Source organism: Homo sapiens, chromosome 5 (assembly GCF_000001405.40).
Source record: "Homo sapiens chromosome 5, GRCh38.p14 Primary Assembly".
NCBI lineage: Eukaryota > Metazoa > Chordata > Mammalia > Primates > Hominidae > Homo > Homo sapiens.
The window spans coordinates 159,544,911-159,567,911 of NC_000005.10; the positions used below are offsets into that span (position 1 = coordinate 159,544,911).

A 23,001-nucleotide genomic window follows, 5' to 3' on the forward strand; every position below is an offset into this window, starting at 1 on the left:
TTTCCATGCCCTGGCTTCAACAGCCTCTTATCCTAAGAGAAGCCATAAATTAACACAGTGAATAATTCTGATAGTACCTAACAGTTATGTGGCACTTAAAATTTGCCTCATACTGTCCCAAGCACTTTGCATATATTCATTTAATTTAATCCTTACAACAACTTAAACAGGTAGGGACTATTATTATCCCCATTTTATAGATAAAAAAACTGAGGCAAAGAGAGATTAGGTAATTTGCCCACAATCCCACAGCTGGTAAGCAAAAGAGGTCATACTCTTAATGACCCTGTAAAGACCTAGTCCACTAGACAGGGAGAAGTAAATTCCAGAGCTGTTATGAAGGAAAGATCAGTTATACTCAGATCAGAAATAGCAGTGCAGAATGTCAGATGGAAAAGGAAGTCAGTGACCATGCAGCCCTCCTGACTTATTTTAGAAATGAGGAAACTGAGGTCCAGAAATGTTAAGTGAATTGCCCAAGGTCATGTAAAGAGTAAGTCACAGAGCCAAAGAGATAATTCAAGTTTCCTGACTCCTATTCTATTGTCGATCCAATGATGTCCTCACAGCCTGTGGGCCTGAGGGTAAGTGCTGTCCAAAGGCTGCCCATGAACTTTGCATTTTAGGTCTGATAGAATTCTTCCTGTTCCTTTGCTTTGACTGATCTTTCCTGAATAGGGTGAACTGAGGTTCCCATCTCAGAGTTCAAATGCCGTTTTAGACTTCCCTCTTTTGTCTGGCACTGCCATCAGCCCACCCTTCACATGCCCATCAGATTGCTTTTCTCACAGCACTACTTGACAATTCACCTCTCCTCTGTCTCCTCTAGGATGTACTTCTAGGTACAGAGGGCCACATTCCTGGGCCACAGTGATTGGTGCAGGGTTATGTTTGTGACCTCAGCTGAGTCAATGACATTTGATCCTGGATCTTAGCAAAGAGTAAGGGGTTGCTAAGCTCATAGGATAGAAGCCTGGTGGGCCACCTGAGACCCTGTCTAGGAATAAGCAACACAGTGGCAAGCAGTACCAACAGAGAGAAAGTAGGGATTCCCAACGACATGGAACTACCAAGGGGCTTCTCTATTATGTCACCAATATATTCCATTTTTTTTGCTGAAGCCAAATTGAGTTGGATTTTTAAGAACTTACAACCAAACAACTCTGAGAATATTTCCTGTTTTAAAACAGAGGAATATATTGGTATTTTCTCAAGTTTGTTCCCAGGCTTTCCACTAATTGCATAAATATTGAGTATGCACCATAAGTAAGTATAGGTAACAAAGACCAAGAAAGATGAATAGGGAGCAGTCCTTTCTCTTAAGGGCTTAGTGGTCTAGTAGTGAAGCCAAGACTCACATATATTGTCTATCACACAAAGTAGAACATAAGGAGTGGCCTGAGAAAGATGCAGACTGTACACTGTGAAGATATAAAGGAGGAAGAATCCACACTGAATTAGAGAGCAGAGTGGAACATTTCTTATAGTATACAGGATTTGAGATAGATTTGAAGATTGGGGAGGAACAAGGAGACTTTCAGACAAAGAAGCCAACATCAATTAAAATGTAGAAATGGAAACTTTCTGCAAATAAAAAGGGAATAAATTGATAGTCTAGTTTATTTGGAGTGTATATTTCAAGAGAAAAAGAAGCAGGAAATTAAATTTGTTGTGTCCAGTAAGGCACAATGTGGACATATTAATGTTATATTGATTAAAGTCTTCCCACCTAGAATGGGCAGTTGTATGTGCAACACTTGAAATGTTTTTTGAATGAATGAGTGACTGTTTTCCTTTTCCCCACTAAACAGAAGCTCTGTGAAGGCAGGAACCTTGCTCATCTTGATCTCTGTTTTATCCCCAGTTCCTAGCACAATGTTTGGCACAGAGTGGATGCTCAATAAATATTTATTGAACAAATGAATGAATATTATAGACATCTTTTAATCTCAGACCAAGGACTTTGTCTCTAACCAAACAGATAAAGGAGAGTCCTCAAAGATTTTCAAGAAAATCCAATCTTTAAAGAGCACCTACTATGTGTCATCCCCTCTGCAGATTTGTGAAGGATCAGGAGTTGCTTTAGGAAGGAAGACTGGGTAGCAGTAAAGAGGAAAGAAGAGAAATTGGAGTAAGAGTCAGCTAACATCACCACTAACCCATATTGAAAGTTATTTGAACCTGCTCTTAAAGAGAGTGTTATGAGAATGGAAAGGAGAGAACAACTGTGGAAGTAAAATGTCAGGATTTGGTCCCAGTCACAGAAAAGAAGCAGGGAGGAAGATCTGATGGATGGTGTGGCAAATTGTATCGTCCACAGATAACTACAACAGGATCTTCTTTCCCACCACATCATAAAGTCAGGTTCCACTGCTCTTGGTTCTGAGAGGGCTAATCATTTTTGTAGGTAACCAAGAGAACATGGTGGAAGTGATATTACATGACTTCTGATGGAAAGTCACAGGAAGTGACTTAGCTTCTGTCTTGCTGTCTGGAATAATTCCACCCTTGAACCTTTAGTCACCATGTAAACAGCCTGACAGTCCAGAGGCTACCATGCTGCAAGGAAGCCCAAACTTTCCATCCATGGAGAGGCCACAAAGGGAGGCCTTGTGACCACACTTGGAGATAGATAGAGAGAGAGAGACAGAGAGGGAGAGAGAGAGAAAGAGAGAGAGAGAATGCCTTGAACAGACCCAACACGTGCAGCCCCTCTCACTGTTTCAGCACCAGCCTCATTTATAGACCCTAGGGAAGAACCATCCAGCTGAGCACTTCCTGAATTTCTGGCCCACAGAAACCATGAGAGATAATAGATGTATTTAGTTCTGGTCATGGTGAGTGTAAGTTTACAAATGGTCCTGCAGACATGATATCCAGCTGTCTGTTGGAAATATGGATCTGGCATGTGTACAACAATAGCAACAATTTCCCTAGAGAATATGTGCGGAAATTGAATTGCTAGGTAATAAGATATGCATATCTTTATCTTTTTATGATAATGCCAATTTGTTTTCCAGAGCAGCTGTTCCAATCATCACTCCCAGCAGCCAAGTATGAGTGTTCCTGTTGCTCTACTTCCTTGGCAACATTTGATTTGATCGGATTTTTTAACATTTGCTAATCTTGTGGGTACAAAATTGTGGTTTTAATTTTTCACAAGTCTTGTCTGTTTAGGCCAGAGGTCATAAGCCAGCTGTGCCTGGCTGGATGAGGTCTTCTGTCTGGATGTCATCCACTGAAGTAGATTTGAGGGGCATTTGAAGAGAGGTGCTTCTGGAAGTTATAGGAATAGATGGAGTTGTCAATTCAGAGAATGTAGCCAGAAGAAGGCAGGCTCAGGGCCACATGTGGTTGGATGAGGAAGAGGAGTTGGTGTAAATGGAAGAGATGTTACATAATTAGATGTTGCCTAATGTAAAAATAAGTAGTTACAATAATTATTAGTTGGCTCATATGTTTATTGTGTGCCTCCCCTGGCTAGACCATCAGGTCCATAAGAGAAGTGATCAAGTCTGTTTTGCTGCATTAATAAGTGCATTAATCAGGCTTGCTAACCTAATAAACTACCCAATCATCTCAGAGGCTTTCAGCAACAAGCATTTATTTTTTCATCCCTGTAACACTCATGCTCCCCTGCAGGTCGGCTGTGGTTCTGTTCTGGGCAGCATTCTGTTCCATGTGTCTTCTCATTCTAGGTCTGGTGGAGAGAACAGCCTTTGTCTGGGACATGCAGTTCTCAGGGAAGAGGGGGAGAAGCAAAACATCTACAGAAACTGGCAATGCCTCTTAAAGCTTCTGCCTACATGTGGCTCATATCGTGCCTGTTCTAATTGTATTGACCAAAGCTTGACACGTGGCCAAGCCCAAAGTAATCCCCAGAAAGCACAAGTTACACAGCAATGGGTGAATGTGGGTGGTGAATAATTGCAAGCAATAACTCACCTCTTCATTCAAAGTAATGCCAGTGCCTAGCACAATCACTTGCACTTAGATCATAAAAGCAGATTATGCAGTATTTTCAACCTTTTTTCATGGAAAATTTTGCAGACACCTGTCTCAGTTGTGGATCCTGCAAGATAATTCATCTGCCCATAGTTCCAGGATGCTTTCATTCTGCATGCATCTCCTGAACCCCACCCCTCTTTGCTTGCTAGTTTCATTTAGAGCTCTTAAATGGGACCTATTTGGTATGAGGTTATGCTCCTTGCTGAGCTCTTGGCAAATCAAAAAGCTGCAAAGATGACAGCAACTATAAAAACCAAGTGTCTGTGTGGTAAGGAACAAGCCATTCTCCACATCTTTTGCTGGGAGCAAGGTCAGGCCACATTCTTCCAGGGCATGGAGATGGCATTGCCAAACTGACTGTGGATATTAAGGGGTTTCAGATGAGGAGAAAAGGGAGTGAGGTCACCTCTGAAAATGCTGGTGTGGTGTAATTTGGAAACATTCATGCAAACCATGTTTGTTAGCTTTTTTATTTTTAATCCAAACTAATGAAAAACTGAAGGGAAACGAGATGTTCCATGAGATTTAGCCAAACACTAAATAGGTCTTGTGGACTCTGACTGCAAAATTAGTTATAGAGGGCTTTTGGCAAAAACCATTATTGAAATTAAAATACTGCTTGCCTGTCCCTAAAAAGTGTTGATGCCAATTGTGAAGCCTCTGGTGGGCTATTGCAGGAGCCCCTGTTGCTGTCCCATTCATAATTACCTAAGAGATGAAAATTTTAAAAAGTTTAACTGTAGCATATGAGCTATGCTTAGTTGGGGTTTCTGGCCAAGGCACCAAGGATCAAACAGCAAGGACAGAAAACTTTTAAGTTAGATTCTGAAATATTTGTGTGTCTATGTGGTATATGTATATGTGTGAGTACATATACACACACATACACCCATATATAGATATATGGAAATGGCATAGAGAGGAAACAATTTGTGAATTGGAAACCACAAGAAAAGCCATCATTGAATGGTTATAATACTTTCTTGCATGGAGCTGAGTAGCTCGCATGAATTTGTCTAGCTTTAATATCTGAAGATATTTTGGGTAATGAACTCTGATCCTCTGAATGTCTGGACTTAACCTCTGGTCCTTCAGCGTAGGCAGAAGGGGAATATTTGAGCTTAATATTCTCTTCCTTCTAACTGATTGGTAGTTTAGTAGAATGTCATGTTAATACAGTGAAAGCCTGTGGGTTAAATCCAGTTCATTTTATTTTGACATTTAGATTTCATACATCATTCTGGCTTGCTTGTCAACCATCTTGAAAATTGGGTGGAAGGATGAACTCAGACTTTTCCCTCATTGCAAACAAGCTTTCCAGTGTGAATGCACCATGCTGCAGCCACAATGAGCTCCTCTCCATCCCTCTGAGCAGGTTAAGCTGTTTGCATGCTCAGAGTCCTTGCAGGGCTGTTCCCTCTACCTCATATGTTCTTTTCTCCTTTCCTGGCTAACTTCACAGACCTCAATTTAATTGTCCCTTCTACAGAGAGGACTTTTGTAACCCTTTATAGTCCTCCCTATTCCGTCTAAGCTATGTTCCTCCTCCATTGTGTTCTCATAGCATCCTGTTCTTTTCACCATTTATACATCTCTATTTGTTTATTTGATTGTTTAACATTGTCTCTTCTACCACACTGTAAGGACAGGGGCAATATCTGGTTTGTCACAGCATCCTCAGCATCTATCAGAATATCTGGCATATGGATGGTCTGTAAATAGTTGCTGAATGAATAAAGGTTACACTAACAATGGGTTAGTAATATCTAGGATTGCTTCACATTAGAGATGAGAAGATCTTAGAGGCCTTAGAAGAAAGATCTTACTTAGAAGTGTATACCCAACCCTTCAAGACACCAGATCCATGTTAATTGATAGCACTTTAGTTATTTTTATTCTGTTCTATGATTATGCCAAAGCTTATTTAATCTTTTAATTGGCATTTGATTTGTTTTCAGTTTCTTGCCATAATAAACAATGCAGCTATGAACATTCTTGTATGTTCTTTATATGTTATATGTTTCTTCGTGCACATTTGCAACAATTTCCCTAGAGAATATGCCAAAAATAGAATTGCTAGGTAATGAGATATGCATTTCCTTATCTTTACAAGATAATGCCAATTTGCATTCCAGAGCAGCTGTTCCAATCATCATTCCCAGGAGCTGAATATGAGCGTTCCTGTTGCTCCACTTCCTTGGCAACATCTGATTTGATCAGATTTGTTAACATGTGCTAATCACATGGCTGCAAAATGGTGGCTTTAATTTTTCACAGGTCTAACCTGTTTAGGCCAGAGGTTGTAAGCCAGCTGTTCATGACTGGATGAGGTCTGCAGTCTGGATGCCATCCACAGACCTAAAGAATGTTTTTTGAGCCTAAAAATTGAATTAGTTGCCAACATTTAAAAACTGGAAGACTTCATTTCAGAATCTGGATCTCTTTATTTTCTTGGGGAGTAAAAATCACTACACAGGGCTGGTATTCACACAGGACAACAACTGACAGTAGTTGAGTAACAGCTGCCTCTGCTTGTCAGGCAGGAAATGTGCTTTGGAATTGGCCACAGTAAACCTGCACCTTTTGGTTATCTTAGTTTCTTGGCCCCTGCAGGCTTTTAAATTGTCTGTCTTGCATTGAGCCTTCATGAAATAGAGAAAGGGTTCAAAAGTGGAGTGGTGGTAGGTGGGCACCTCCCCTACTCATATTTGACCCAGGAACAGTCCTTCCCAACAGAGCACTGGACACACGGCTTCCATATAAAGACTAGAATAGCTGCTGGGCTCAGGGCTTCCTCCCTAAAACTTGTCCATACCCTTTCTCAGATGTGATCTCCCTTTCTCTGAACTTCCTTAGCCCCTTTGTCTGTACTCCTTCTCTGCCCTTTTTTATTTTCACCATTATGATTCTCATGTACTTGTCCTCTTTCCTGTATTTTGCTGAAAACTCTCTAAGGGTTGGGACCATATGTTTATGTGCTTGGCTTTTTGTTGTTCATGTAACTTTTTATTTGTGGTCCTTCACAGTACTTTAAAGTGGAGACTTGCACATGGAAGTTTCACATTCAACAAACATTTACTAAGTGCTCATATGCCAGGCATGGCACAAGGCACTAAGAATATGAGACACTATCATGGCCTGAAGGATCTGACAGAACCCTGAAGGAAAGGACCACATTTGTTCATTTATTCATTTATTCAAACCACAAACACATACTGAGTGCTTACTTCAGGCCAGGCACCATGCTAGTTCCTGGGAAGCAAAATCAGACAAGATCCCTTGCCTCATTGTATTTACAGACTATACATTTTCAGTTGCCTAGGATTTAAAAAGTTGGCCTAGCCTGGGAGTTGGGCTTGGGAGGGCGGGGTGAGACTTGAGATTGAAGGGTGAGTAGAAGCTTATCAGATGATGGAGGAAGGTGGAAAAGAATATTTGTTCCATGCTCATGCAGAAGAGTCAGCACATGTGAATGCCTTATGGTGGGAGAGAGGAGGCCCAGCTCACTGTCTAGGAAGAAGAATCAATGCGGCTGGACCTTACAGTGTTAAGTGCCGGGTAGTGGGAGATGAGGCTGGAGATGTAGGTAAGGGCCAGATTCCAATAGAAATAAGTACAATAAAGTGTACAGGTGCTAAAATAGAGGTGAGTACGTTGAGCCACTCAGTTATTGATTGGATTAATGCACAGGTAAGTGATTGTATGGGTAACATTCTAGAAACTTAACATCTAATAGAGAAGATGGATAGGCTAATAGACATGTTATTATTGTTGTTGTGTAATCAGGAAGGGGCAGAATGGGTGTTGAACATTTCAGAGACCTGCAAACTCTACACTTTCTAGCACTAGCTACAGTAAGAAGAATCCTGTGAGCTCAGAGATTTATTAAAGAAGGATGGCTCTTCCCCCTCAAGCCTGACTAGAAAAGGAATGGTTTTTTCCCCAGGTTTCCACAGTCCCAGAAAAGAGGAGGATTGTTGCCTGTGGAGGATTAGCTGAAATAGGTCCATAATGAGCCAGCTCTGAGTCATTCACAGCACTTGGTACTTAACTGTGAGGAGCTGGACTTATTTTCTAAGCTCCGACCTCGCTGGTGTACCTCAAAGCTTTCGAGGCCAACAATTCTAGTAAGTGTGTTTTTTCTTCCTCACCCTCTGCTGCACTGAGGCTAACTGAAAGCTTCCTGCCCCTGTGTTGATATTCTAGGCCATGCCAATTGCAGGGCTTTCTCAGGCACACAATTGAAACCTAAAGCATCTTTGGTGAAAGCTCCCCTTCTACCCAGTGCCACTCTTAAGAATGGAGGAACTTTTGCCTCACAGAGTTTATTATCATTGATCTCTGAAAATTATAGCTAAGAAATGTGAGACCCTGCTGCCCTTTGGGTGGGTGTTTTGTTTGTTTTGTTGTTGCCAATTGATCAGGTATTAAGAAGAGGAGTCTCTGCCACTCAGTGCTGGGTGTCTCCTCTATCACTTTGCTTGCTTTGTACTTTTGCCTGCAATGTCCTCCCTCCTTTCAAGGGTCGTGTCTTCCAGGAAGCCCTCCCCAGTAATGCTAGACCAACACTCCATCTCTTTCTTGACCTGCTCATAACTCTTACCAATTGCTCTGTACATTTTGGTATTTTATTATATTGTTTATTTGTGGATTTTTTCAGATGCATATCTCTTGGTTCTTCATCAAGATTACCACTTGGTAGTAGGCCAATAAGTATTTGTTGAACATATTAATGACATGTAAAAGTCAAGGACAAGGACTAAGTTATATCAATCTTTGCTCGTTCCTATGTGCTGAGTCCATTGATGGGATCATATGAAATATTCAGTAAATATTTTTGAAGCAAATTATTAATAAATCAACTGAAGTTAGACTGGAAAGTAGTGTACCACAGTGATTAAGAGCATAGAGTATGGAATCAGGCAACTCCAAGCTACCAGCTGAAGACATAGACAAGTTCAATAATTTCTCCGTGTGTCAGTCCTCACATGGAGTTTGCAGTGGTTTCCACTTAAAAAGATGTTGTTGAGATTAAATAAGATAATGCCTATGCACAAAGCTAAACCACAGCTAAGATTATCTGCAGATGAAACTGTGAACAACTTTACTTATGAAGGTTGATGGTTTAAACAGAGCTTTCAGAGTGTAGAAGGAAGCAAAGAAATGAAGAGTTTTGTGGGATCGTAGAATCAACCTCAAAACACAAAGTTTCAGGAACTATTCCCTGGTGGGTGACAGGTAAGAGATGGTGTAGGACAGACAGGATGTCACAGGCTAGTACTTCCCAAATTCACACCTGTCCTACCAAGCCAATGCAGTTATTCCTTTTTCATTCCTTTTCTATCCTCTTAAAGAAAACTTTGATGGACTTTTTGTTTGATGGAATCTTAGACTGCCGGTTGTCTATCCTTGTTCAGCCCCTCTTGAACCCTTGCTAATTTCTTTTGTTGTGGATGAGAGCATTTGCTTCCATCTCTGATCCTTTGATAGATCGTTGCATTTCAACTAGAATTTAATTATAGGTCTGCTGTTTATTTTTTGACTATCTTTTATTTCATTTAATTAGTAATACTGTTTTTTATCTATTAATGTTTAGTTATATAATATTTCCTTTTACATTTATTTTTAGTAAAAAAAAAAGAAAGATCAAGTAAATAGGAGTCTAGAAGATTCATGGATCAATAAAATATCATCAAGGTGAAACACAAATGACCGATTAGAAAATCTGTGGGTTGATGATTAGAAGTGACCAGGTTCTGTACATACCAGTTCTGCCCTTAAGTAGATATGCAAACTTGGAAATTCATTTCACCTGCCTAAGCCTCCCATTTTCTGATCTATAAAGCAAATGAGCTGGACAAGAGAGAATTACCATGGTTCTGTCTAGCTTACATGTTCAGACAATTGGTTGGGGAAAGTGTCAGAAAATTCTCCTTGATGGTGGTGGTGGTGGAGGGCTGACTTGGCGTGGAAGGACCTGCTTTGCAGAAAGGTGGGCAGTGTTGAGGCTGAACAGGGGAATCATGCCAGAGACATGTAGAGTGTGTTTATTCTCTGAATATATTTATTCATGTTCATGAGCCCCAGGATGCAATCCTCATTTTAGGACTGAAAATGTTCATTTCAGACACCCAGATTTGGAATTGGCAAGTAAATTGACACCAACATGTGGTCAATTCAGATACTTCTTTATTTCTCCTGATTTCCTTTCTTTATAACCTTGGAAAAATAACGTTTTCACCCCTTTTAAAGAAAATGCCTTAGGTGGATCCAACTCTCTGTTTCCTGTCTATTATGCCAAGAACTGTCATTTACCAAGCTTTTAGCATGTACCAAGCACTCTGCAAAGCACTTTAAGCACAATAATATGCTTAATCTTGCAACAATTTGAAGAGGAAGATACTGCTATTATCCCTGTTTTACAATGAGGAAACTAGGGCTCAGACAGCTTGAGTGATTTGCTCAAGGTCAAATAACTTGTAAGAGGTAGAAATGGGATTCAAGTACATGTCTGTTGGATTCCAAAGCCTATCCTCTGAAACCCTTAAGTCATACATTGTTAGCATTTTTCATATCAGTTTTTTAAATGTTAAAGCAAAATTCAAAGTGTCAAAGATCAAAAATTGAGTTTCTTTTTTTAACTTAAATGCATTCAAGAAATGTTAACAGAATGGAATACTACCAGGTTATTAAAATAACAAGAACCTGGGCCATGCCAATGCACAAGAATGTTTATGTGAAATACCATTTGTGAAAACCAGTGTGAAGGGGAAGATACATACTAATTGCAATTCTGCAAAAACATTTTCAATATACATTGGCGAAGGCTGTACAGAACTTGAGGGATACAGATTGTTCAGAGTTTAATGTGTTTTAGACTTTTTTTCCTGCAAGTTATTTAATTCCTAATGTACAAAGAAGGAGTAAGGAAGTTATTTTTCATTTTGTTTTGTTTTGAGTAAACCTGAAATAATTCTTAAAGGATTCCAGCTGTGGCTGGACCTCTGGACTGACACATCATGGGCCCACCTAACGCATTTAGTGAGCAAGTGACTCCTGTTTGAGACCAGACTGAATTAAAAATCTTTCCTGAACTTCCCAGTCCCTTATTGTTTTGAGTCAACTCTACTGAATCAGAATTTTGAGAGAAGATTCCTCTTCCCAGAAGCTCATAAACATTTTGGGTAATCAACCTCAAGAAAAAATGCCATGTGCACATACATATGGTACTTTGGCAGTAATTACAGTGGACGCATGGGTCCCTAGGCAGGTGAAGGGGCCTACTAAGGAAATGCCTTCTGAAGACCCTGATTGGATAGTTGGAATGAAGTCATAGTGAACCTGAAAGGGTCTGGTCTCACGGCAAGAAGGCAGAGCTGTTTATTCTGGTGGCCTCTGCCGGTGAGGCCTTGAGGGTTTTACAAAGGTCTTCTGTGACTGTTTGATCTTCAGAACCACTTTCTGGCTGCACAGAGCAAATGATGCTGTGATTTTTAGAATGCAGATTCTGGAGGCAGTGGCTGGGATTCAGATGCCAAGTTTGTTACGTATATTACACATGTAAAAGTGGGCATGTCACTTAATTTTTTGAAGCCTCTGTCTCTTCCGTAAGGTGGAGATGATAATAATGATGATGATAAGCAGGACTTTGGGTAGTTCACTGGCTGGCTGCAACAATTCAGTGGTACATGTTGGGTAAGCACTTAGCACAGTGCCTGTCACAGAGAAAACTCTGAGTAAATGATAACACATTTGCTTAAGATAATATAGCTAGTAGTGATCAGGGTTGAGCCTCTATCTCAGATCATTTGTCAACTCCAAGTCTACTTCTCCTTATTACAAATTATAATGCATTCATTTATTCATTTTCTAGCTATCTACTACATATAATTATATAGCTATATATAATTATATATTTTTTCCTTTTTTTCTCCTTTCACATAAATTAAGCATCTTTTCAGAGAAATCGGTAACCTGATCAGGAAGTATTTCTGTCAAGTCTTATTTCATAGCAAGATTAAAAGTTTTTTCTTAAGATATACTTGGAAAATTTTGTCATTTAATCAAGGACTTCGCTGTATGCCTACGTGGGATAAAGCTTGCCAATAACTTATGGAAAATTGCTGGTGATTAATCCAGCCCCATTTCTGCCATGCTGCCCCTTGCTCTCTCCAATGGCCTCTTTCCCTGATCCTGCCCTTCCCAGTGTCTACAATGTGGATTCCTCCCCGCCCTCTTACCTCTCAGAGCTGGGTTCAAATGTTGCTTCCTCCATCTTTCCTCCTCGCTTCCCTGACCTCAGTCTTTCTCCCGTCTCCACCAAGCTAGCAGTTGCTCTGCGGAAATTCTCACAAAATTGCGTTCCTTCCCTTTATTGTACTTACCTCTGTTTGTAAGTAATTTGGGGGATTATTTGATTCATATCTGTTTTCCCCATCAGATTATAATGGACAGGAAAACAGGGCCTGGATATTGCATGTCCACTCTTGTGCTTAACTTCTGGTTGAAGCAACAAATAAATGATTTTGTTTGGGCACTGACTCTGTGCCCGGCCCCTAGAGTAACACATGCTCTCATCCTTACAGCAAATTTTCAGGCGGGCAGCATTTTCTTCATTCTATACTCCAAGGAAGAGGAGGGTCAGAGAGGATAAATAACCTGCCTCGGATCTCAGAATAGGTAAATGACAGAGACTCCACTGCCTCTGTGATTTCTCTCGAGGCCCTGGGACCCTCAGATGGTGAAAGGCAAGAGTCTGCGAACCCCTGGAGGTCTGGAAGCAGGATTCATGGAGTTCTTTCCCCAGAGAGGAGCAGTCAGCTCTGAGTCAATTAGCAGAGCAATCATCGGAAATCAAGTCCCTGACTAATGAGGTGCCTGAAATTGAGATGTCACTTGTAATCTCTTTTCTCCTAGACGATCTGGATTAAGATTCCAAGGTATTAAGAAATCATTTTTATTTTTCTCAGGGAAATCTAAACACTTCAATGTTAAAAAAAATCTTGTTATTGGGGAGAAAAGTAAAATGGGCTTCAGTATTAACTTCTTAATGATTTTTGAAATATGCAGATCTTGCTGGAGCAGACATGCAAAAGTGGTTGGTTTCCAGTGTCCCTTTAAAATCTGGGATGCCTTGGAGGCTATAAAAATAAAATTCTAAACACAAATTAATCCTGGCAAAGGCTGGGTAGCCATTCTGGATTGAACCAAAATATCTAATTGGCTCAGGCACAGAGGATCAGTGCTGTTCTTCAGTTGGTGAACTCCTTATGTGGAGATTAAATGGAATCATAAGATTGTAATTAGTTGTAATTATAGAAATAGTGTCTTCTGGTTTTGTCTCTTTGCTGAGACAGTTGCTTGGGATGGCTTTGGAAAAACTTGTTCCTGAGGCCAGGAAGGGCTCTGAAAAGGAAGTTTTCCAGTCAGCTCTCGAATACCCCACTTATGCCCTCAAACAAAAAAATGAGTTGCCTTTAGGATGATTCATTTCAAAGGCTTTTTATTTCTTCTCCCTTAAACTGCAGCTGTTTGGCTCTGCAGGGGTTTGGGGAGGCAAGGAGGCCAGCTATAGGTGCAAAACAGCTTCATCGCTGGAGGGACACCATGCCCAAGGTGGGAATGGTAATAACGATGAAATAGACCCGAGAAACATCCATTCCCTTGGAAAAACCAGGAGTAAGAACCTACTGCTCTTGCACTAGGCCCTTGTCATGCCCACTTTTGTGCTCTTTTCCAGTTACGGGGTTTTAATACGAGGGTAAATTACTACCAGGACGTCTGGAGAACCTCCTCTATGGGAGACTGGTTTTACTCTTCCATTTCCCATCCGATTGCTGAGATTCATTATTCCATTATTTCCTTCCACTCAGTAAGAGAATTCTTGGATGAAAATATCCACCATGTTACTCTTTTTGTAAGCCCATTCTCTAAAGAGATATAAAGTAACATCAGCCCTGCCAGGTCTGCACAAGAAAAAATCTAGAAATGCCTTACCCAAAGCAAAAGTACACTCTTTGTCTGAATCTGGGCCCTATTGAGGTTTAGAAACATAGAAGACAGGGTAAGAGTGCATTTACAGCTTATCTTGGAGCCCTTTGGAAGGAAGCTCTGTCTTGTGAGGTTTCTATTCCTCAGAAGTAATAATAACAAGCAACAATTATATAGCAGTGACTCTGTGCCTGTCACTCAACAGATTTTCATTGCGTGCACACTGTTGTCAACACCATTGAAGCCACTGGGAAGAAGGCAAGGAAACCATTACTGGCCCTATCCCTACCCTTGTGATCTTATATTGCAATGGGGAGCTGGGCTTAAGTGTTTGAAGTTCTGCACACTGGAAAGGGAATTAGACTTGCTGGGTCATTCTGGGAATTACACGGAAGAGGGAGTGGAAATTACAGGGAGATGGATGGGATTAAGTCACCTGTGCAAATTCTAGACCCCACCCTACATCTACTGAGTCAGAAACTCGGAGGGTAGGACCCAGCAAGGCAAGTTTCACAAACTCTACACTGATTCTTATGTGCACTGAAGTTTGAGAACCACCTGGATTTGACATATGGAGAACACTCTATCCAGTGGAATTTTCCAACAGCAAAATGAGCTGCCGCTGCTGATGGCATAGCATTCTCCATTACTGGGTGTGTGCAAACAAGACCACTTGAAACAGAAGGAATGAGGGTGTGAATTTCAGCATTTCCCAAGTGCATTTAATGATGAAATACTTTTATAATTATGAGATGCTGATAGGACATTGATAGGAGCTTGACAATTATGCATTAAAGTCTATTGCAAAAAATACCCCCAAATGAAATAATTGCTGCTGGAAATTGTCAAAAGTTGTTCTTGTACTTTATAACATACAAACAAAACAAATTAGAGTAATAAGGTCATTTAAATTTATTAATACATCAATGTGAAGATTACTAAAATAAACAGCCTCCTCCATTCCCCCTGACCCCCATCCCCCGCCCCAGAAATATCTATGACTGTATCAAGGATGGAAAAATCAAATGCTCTGGTGTTCCTTCCAATCTGGGACAACATACTTTAGAAAAAATACTGGAGGGTAGCAAACATTGTATTTGAAATCACCTTGCCCTTTTCTGTGACTTCTCCAGCTCTCCATCACTTTCTTTTCCTCTTTTCTGGGCAATACTCCATCCTTGCCTCCAAGCCCCCTAGTACCTAGGTGCCATGTCTTCATCTCTCTCTCCCATTCGAACCTTCCCAATTTCCTGTGTATTTGCTCCCAGGAGGCTCACGTTCAGTCCCGTAGCCTATCCGCCCTTCTCAGCCCAGAGCTCTTCCCTCAGAGTGCAGTGCAGCCATCTGCTCGGGAACCTGTGCTGATGGGATAGCAGTTGATAATGAGTTACTTGTTCATCTCCTGGGTAACCTGTTTGCTTTTTAACTGGAGCCTCCTAGGGCCAGTGCCTGTGAGGGGAAGAGCTTTAGAAAGTCAGCCTGAGAGAGGGGCACCGTGTGGAGGGAATTTCTCGGTCAAGTTCAAACTTGATCTGTCTAGTATTTTCCAGGTCTCTGGAGTTCCATCTGCCTCCAGAACTGAAGTCAAAGGTGAAACATAACCACCAGCTTGGCCTGAATTTGATAGGGGCTGCAGAAGAGAGGATGTTCTGGCCACACTTACATTACTCCAGCAGTCTCAATCGGCTACCTCCTTGGGGTTATAATTCTGTTGGCTTTTTTCCCCAGTTGGTCCAGAAAGGGGAATGACAAGATGAAGACAGGAAGACAGGAACACTTTTCTCTGCTTTTCCCATAATCTCTGCATGTGAATGGAGACCTGTTTATGGTCACTTATTACCACCCCCTGTCTCTCCCCGATATTTTGGCTTCATTTACAGTGGGGATTAACATGATCTAGAGGCAGCCTTCTGGGTTCTTTTGTGATAATCTAAAAATAAACAAAGCCCAAAGGATCCATTTCTTCTTCCCATTAATTTGAAGAAAGGCAGATGGTGCCCAATAACCTGATTTGAATTGCCAATAAAGTGCGTCATTTTTTTACTAACTTGCCATTAAATTTTAACGGATGGTGTCCATGGTGCAGAATGAGCTCCAAGAGAGGTTATTCAAAGCCCGTGGGGTGGGATAGTGAGCAGTCAGTCTGTGTCCACACAACCTCCCTGAGGAGGAGGAGATTTGGAGCAACGAGAGAGGCTGCAGAGGGCTCTGAACTGTTGAGAATCTAGGGAAAAATGCAGAAAGGGGTGAGCTGGCAGGAAAGTGGTAGTTTTCAAGAAGCTTGAGACCCATGTTGTAAATTTGAGGGCACCAACCATATCTCACCTATTACTACTTCCCCACTACAATTAGGTGTTCCGAGGGCAGTCACTAAAGGCTGGCTGAAGGAGTGATGCAAACTTTTGATGGGTGGAAAGCATACATTTTAGTGAAGAGGGAAGAAAACACAACCAAGGTAAGAAAAGGAGATACCTCCCACAACGTACTGCAGAGTTGAAAGAGTCCTAGACTTGGGGACTTGGGTTCTACTCCTGACTCTAACAGTACATCACTGAGAAAAGTCTTATAAGTCTCCAGATGGAGGAAGATAGGTAACAAATTGCTGAAGGGACTTGCCTCCTTCATCTGCAACCAGAACCTGAGACTCCAAAACCTTCTAGTGATACTTCCACAAATGAACACGTTTGCTCTTTGCTTATGTGCTCAGTGAATGGTTTATTGAATTTTCTGACTCAAAATGGTTAATTCTGTTGATTTTTTAAAATGTCAAAATTAAATGGCTGGACTGGAGATCGATAAGATCCTTTTCAACCCTAAAATTCTATGGTGTGTTCTACAATGTTTGTAAAAAGCCAAGTTTTGTTTTGCTAGTGCAGAGTCTCAGGGTCCCCAGGCCAGCCTAATTCAGTTAGGGTATGGGAATACCTTGCTGGATCATCATCTGGGAGGAGAATAAATAGTGGCATGGCCATCTCTGCTCCAGGAATTAGACATGTTGCTCCAGTGTGCTGGACTTCGGTAGTTTTCCCTGCTTGTTATCCTTTCCTTCTATTCCTTTCAGCTCTCCCCTTTGGAGAACCACCTCTCTGCCATTCTCAATCCATGTGGTGATGGTCAGGCTGAACTTCTCACCCATTCGTCAAGTGGGCACTTGACTAATGTTCGGCCAACCAGAATATTCTACACCCTCTAGCCACAGTGTTTGCTTCAGGAATGAGAACTTAAGACAGCCTAATGAAAATCAGCCTATAAGGATTTTTGCCAGAACAATTGAGAATGAGACTCTCTCTTTGCTTTAGAGTCACTAAACTACATGGATATAAGCTTGAAGCTGCAGGTGGCCATCAACCCTTGAGGGGATCCTGGGCCTGAAAATGAAGGCATAAAGGAAAACAAAACTGAGACATAGAGAGAGATGAATTCCTTGAACATGATGCCTGAAGTTAGATTTGCCCCTGGCTGTTTCAGTCCAATGAGCCAGTAAATTCCCTCTTTTACTTAAGTTGATTTTAATTGGGTTTTGTCACTTGCAATGAGAAATGTCCCAACTAACACAGTCGCCTTGATACTCAGGGTGATATGCAGGGAGAGGAGAAAGAGACACCTGCAATATAGTGAGCAAATTCAGTGAGCAATAGCATAAATACAGCTAAAATACAACTGATCAGTTAATACTTGACCCATTGTAGTCACAGTGATAATGTGGTGGGGAGGGTTTGGTAAAGCAGAATCCTCAAGCAATTGGCATCAGGGTCATCCAGGGAGGTTTTTTTTTTTTTTTCTTTCTTAAGAATTTAGATTCCAGGGCTTTACCCAGACCTACTATTCAGAATCTGTGAATAGAGGCCTGGAATTTGCTTTCCTAAAAGATTCCCAGGGTATAAAGTTTGATATTCACTGTCCTAGTAATGAGAGCTCAGACTTTGAAATTAGAAGGTTTGGGTTTATATCTAGTCTCTGCCATTTACTACTTGTATGACCTTGGGCTAATAACCTTCAGTCTCAGCTTTTTCAGTGGTTAATAATGCCTCATAGGGTTGTGAGAATAAATAAGAAAATGTATTCATGTAAAATATTTACCCTGCTGCTTTTTTATATAGGGAAATTTAGAAACTATTGTTATTACTAAAACCTACACCTATAAGAGAAGGGAGCAGACTTAAGAAAATGCAAAAGAAACATATAAGCATTACGTTTGAATTATGGTGCTCCTTGGAATCTATGACATAGCAGGCATAGTGGTTAAGACTGAAGTCTCTGGAGTAGGAATGTCTGAATGAAACTCTGGTTCTGCCACTTACCAGCTATGTGACCTCCTGCTGAGCTGCTTGTGCCTTTGCTTTTTCATCTGTAAAATGGGATTAATATTGGTACTTAACTTACATCTTTTTTTGGGGTAATGATGAAATAAGATCATGAATGAGAAGGGCATAGATGATACTTGCTAGTTTTATTACGACCATTTTCTTCTTTTCCAATTACATTAATGCTTTTCCCTTGTGGTTAACCCCCACATAGCTTTATTCCTCTGAGATCCTCTTCCACTGGCCTCTGCTCTTTTATTAAATAAAGAAATTAGATTCAGAGATGGCCTCCCACTCCCAGCCTTGAACTTGAGTTGAATCTCCCTAGAGAGGGCCCAAGGCTGGGGAATGGTAGAGATACCTGCTTTGTGCTATGGGGCCCTGGTTTTTATGCTGACAGCCTACGTGCTTGGAGAAGTGTCTGGAACTTCAAGTTGACATTTGCAATGTGTCAAAGCCCTGAGCATTTCCTTTCTAACCGAGCCCTAGGAAACCTCAGGGCCCAATGTATTAAGCACATGAAGAACTCAGGGCCCAATGTATTAAGCAAATGAAGAAAAAGCAGCCGTGTTTGGGCAGTAAGTCATGCTGATGGATGTAGCACTCCAGTCCTGCCTACTATATCTGTGTAGGTATTGAACATCCAAAGATCTGTTCCATACAACTTTTCAAGTGAAAAAAAAATAACAGCAAGCCTCATAACAAGAAAATAATTGCAGGAGCAAAATGACAATGTTTGGCAGTGCTGCAAAAGTGCTTGGAAGAATTTGAGGAAATATCTGTACCTGAAATACAAGTTGTGCCTCATCTTCCTCATTTATTAAGTTGAAACATAATATTTAATGTTGCTTTTAATCTGGATTATTTAAGATTCTTAGATTCAAGATTCTATGACATTATCCAAAGGCACTTCTCTTAGGAAGTCTCTCTGTTCCCACTGGTTTCCAACAGTGGGAGGTGGGATGGGTGACATCTGCAGATAAAACCAGGCCGTGCTGTTGAACAGTTGGCAAATCCAAGTGATTCTCTTCTCCCTGGAATGGGTGCAGGGTTGCATATTAATTTACAATTACTCATAAAGTAGACAGCAAAGGCTTCTCTTTTGTCAACACTTAGACATACAAATTAGGTAATATTGAATGGGCAATGAATATTTCATTTCCACCTTGCCTCCTGGTGCCAATCACTGTAAATGAGGCTAGATTAATATCCGAAATGACTCACACTCCGTTAGGTATCCAAGTCTGGGCCCCTCAGACTCGCTCTATTTTGGCCTTAATTTGTCAGCTGGATTTTGTTAGTGACTATGCAAGACAGAAGCAGGAACACATAGTTTACCTCAACTTTATGCTGGACATGAACTTCAGTGTTTCAAAGTGATCTTTGGTTCTGATAATATGGCAGAGCAAACTTGTACAAAGGATGAATAAAAAATAGAAATAGAATTTTTAAAAATATTCCGGCATAAAAGAAAAAAAAAATCCCCAGGTACAAGAATTGAAGAGAGAAATCAAAGCCAGGGCAGTAATGGAGAGTTGGTATTTCAGCAAAATTTTCTGACCCAGATATAAGCCCTAAGAGCTGAAGGTTGGGGATTTAACACCCACTGGGGTACAGGAAATGTGGCCTCAAGCCCTTGCTAGGTAGGGAAAATAGAACTAAGCTTCAGCATAAAGCCATGAGCCTTGAAAAGTTGCATTGTCCGTGGGATGGTGACTACAAAAACTCCACATCTGAGTCCAGGAAAGAAGCAAGTAAGCTTGCCACCCATCTAGAACCCCAGTTAAAAAAAAAAAAAAAAAAAGAAAAAGAAGCTGTGTCCAAAAAATCAAAACCCCAGGTCTGGGCCACATATGGGCATGGTATCTAAATGTATACCAGTGATAAGTTAGCATAGATTGCCTAAGTCTATGAAACCCCTAGGATATAATAGGGGAAATTGTGAAACTGAATTGTTGGGACATTTTTACAAATCAGGGCATGAAGTACTCACACCCAGAAATTTACCATCATAAGGAAGATACTAAATGCTTCAAAAGGATAATTAGCACCTTAAAGATTCGAAATAATAGAAATATCTTTATGAGACTATAAAATAAGAGCATTTAAAATTATTAAAGATAGAAGAAGTAGTATGATACAAGAAGCAGAAAATTCAAAAGAAATATATAAATAGGACTCATGCATAAGTTGGTTTGCCCAGCACGGAGGGATTTCTCAGGAGACAAGATTCTCAATACTAAGGGAGACTCTCATTAGGCAAAGCATGTGGTGGTCATGTTACTTCCACTGGGTAACCAAAGAGGTTTTAATGAAGAGACCGTTTACAAACGTGTGGACAGAATTTGGGGAAACCAGCAAGGAACAATACAGCGCCCTGGACCTAACCACAGGGAGCCACTACTACCAACTCTGGGAGGGAAACGGCCGACAGAAGTCAGGACTAACTTGCAGCTCCCACTCAGGCAGGCAGAGCAGCGTGTGGAGACCCACATCGTAAACTTTTGCTCCATTACTATCCTCAAGTCTGAAGGGGCAAGGAGAGGGTGCCATTACTGAAACTCCGAGAAATAAGCCCCACGGAGAAGCCCTTAATGGAAGGAAATAGGAAAGAAGCAAGGAGAATAAGCACACCATTTTCACTCTCCACCTACCTTCCCTCTGAACTCCTGTTGAGACCTCCCATTGGCCAGACTCAGCTAAAAGCCAGAGAGCAAAGAAGTTCTTTGACCTAGTCTACACAGGCCAGCCTCCTGAAACACAGATCAAGAAGGGTGCAGAATGGATCTTGAAGGGTAAACGAAAAACAGTCGGGACAAAAGCACAATGAAATTGACCATCTGAATACCTGTATATAAAACCTTGCAAGTTAAAGCAGGTTGTGCAAAACCAGAGTTAGGAGGAAAATAGCAGGCTAAAAGTTAGAAGAGCTGAGCCCTGGTGACACCTTTGGTATTTACAATCAGTGTGACTTTGAGAAAGTGTCTTTGTTTACTCAAGCTTCTATATTATTAATTAAGAATGAGGCTGGGCATGGTGGCTCATGCCTGTAATCCTAGCACTTTGGGAGGTCGAAGTGGGTGGATCACTTGAGCGCAGGAGTTTGAGACCAGCCTGGGCAACATGCCAAGACCCTGTCTCTACCAAAAGAATACAAAAATTAACCAGGCCTGGTGGCACACACCTGTAGTCACAGCTACTCGGGAGGCTGAAATAGGAGAATCGCATGCACCTGGGGAGGTCAAGGTTGCAGTGAGCCATGATTGTGCCACTGTACTCCAGCCTGGGTGACAGAGTGAGATGCTGTCTTAAAAAAAAAAAAAATTAACAGTGAAATTTTTCTAGAATAGAAGTCTCACACTGGAAGCCCTTGGATCAAATCTTAGTGGAGTATATTGTTTACAGAATGTTTTAGACTAAATCTGAATAATTCAATAACATTGAAAAATTGAGGAAAATTCATAAAATAATGTGGATTTCTAGCTTTCTTTGTGTTTTCGTTTGGCAACAATTGTCTAAAGGCAAGGTCCTCACTCCCATTTCTACACCGACCATCCCTTCTGGCCCACTTCACTCATTTCTGTTACCTGCCTGCAGCCCTGTGGGAACTGGTATTTGCAACCTTGAATAGCACTTTCAACTTTCAGGTTTAACAGTCTGTGAAATTTAAGGCATCACTGTAGGTTTTGACTATGAACATGGGCTTTCTGAGTTTTTTAATCGAGGTGGATTGGGAAGTTGGCAGGTGGCTTTTTGCATATCTTCCTTTACATCTTAAACACAGCACATATGCAGTTTTATGAAGCATATGGTCTTCCATGTGCATAACTACACTTTGTTGATTTTTCCTTTTCCTAAGTTCTCCAAAAGCCCAGTAGAATAAACACAAGCTGCCACTTGGAAAACAATTCTGAAGAAAAGCCCATCTGGGGAGAAAAAGTGAGGCAATCCAAAAAGCCGCCAAGTGACCACATTTCTGGAGTAAGTTTTTACAGTTCACAGAGACCATGACTCTTTTCTCCCCTTGGCATGATATATGATGAGCATGGTGTCAAACAGCTCGTGGTGACATTGCCTTTGCTCTTTGGGCTTGTGGCAGGGAATGGGTGAAAAAGGCAAATTCAACCTTTCTGTGGCAGACCTTGATTGGAAACAACGTGTGAACATTTTACCTGGTGATGAGCCCTGAGTTTTACATCAGCCAACAGCCATGGCAGCAGATGACAGAAAAAAACGGAATCTTTTCCAGACTTGGAGAAAGATAAATCTGAAAAGGAGTTTTTCCCTATAGACCAGCTCTGCTTAGGAGATACTCACTGTGAGTTGTCAGATCAGGGAACTTTGAGGTAAGCATTAATGAGAATTGCACTAACTTTCCCTGAGGGACCAAGAAACTGGGATTCTCTAGCCAACATTTTGTCCTGAGAACGATTGCTCACCCAGCTCCATGGAGGATTTTCCCTTCAGCCCATCCCTCAGGGCTTACCCTGTGCACAGTTTCAGCTACTACTGGAAAATGACTCAAAGAATTAAAGTGTTGAAATAGATGCCCCTAACTCCTTTGCTAGAATAAACAAGGATTGTGGGTAGAATGTAAATTATTAAAATGCATTAACTTTCTCCTGGACAAGTCTGGTGCTAATCACCTTTGCCGCGAGGAAAGATAAATGGGTTGTGCGTGTTGCAGGCTGAACTGGCA

At 41.1% G+C, this 23,001-nt stretch overlaps 1 long non-coding RNA gene across 1 annotated transcript in view; it reads left to right on the plus strand.

Annotated features, from left to right (window-relative positions):
• Positions 1-23,001, plus strand: part of LOC105377684 (uncharacterized) — a 114,041-nt gene that overhangs the window by 29,334 nt on the left and 61,706 nt on the right. Inside the window, exons 3-6 of the long non-coding RNA XR_941139.3 lie at positions 12,594-12,947; positions 16,351-16,453; positions 22,162-22,283; positions 22,442-22,648. This is a non-coding gene — a long non-coding RNA (uncharacterized LOC105377684). The remainder of the gene's footprint in view (positions 1-12,593; positions 12,948-16,350; positions 16,454-22,161; positions 22,284-22,441; positions 22,649-23,001) is intronic.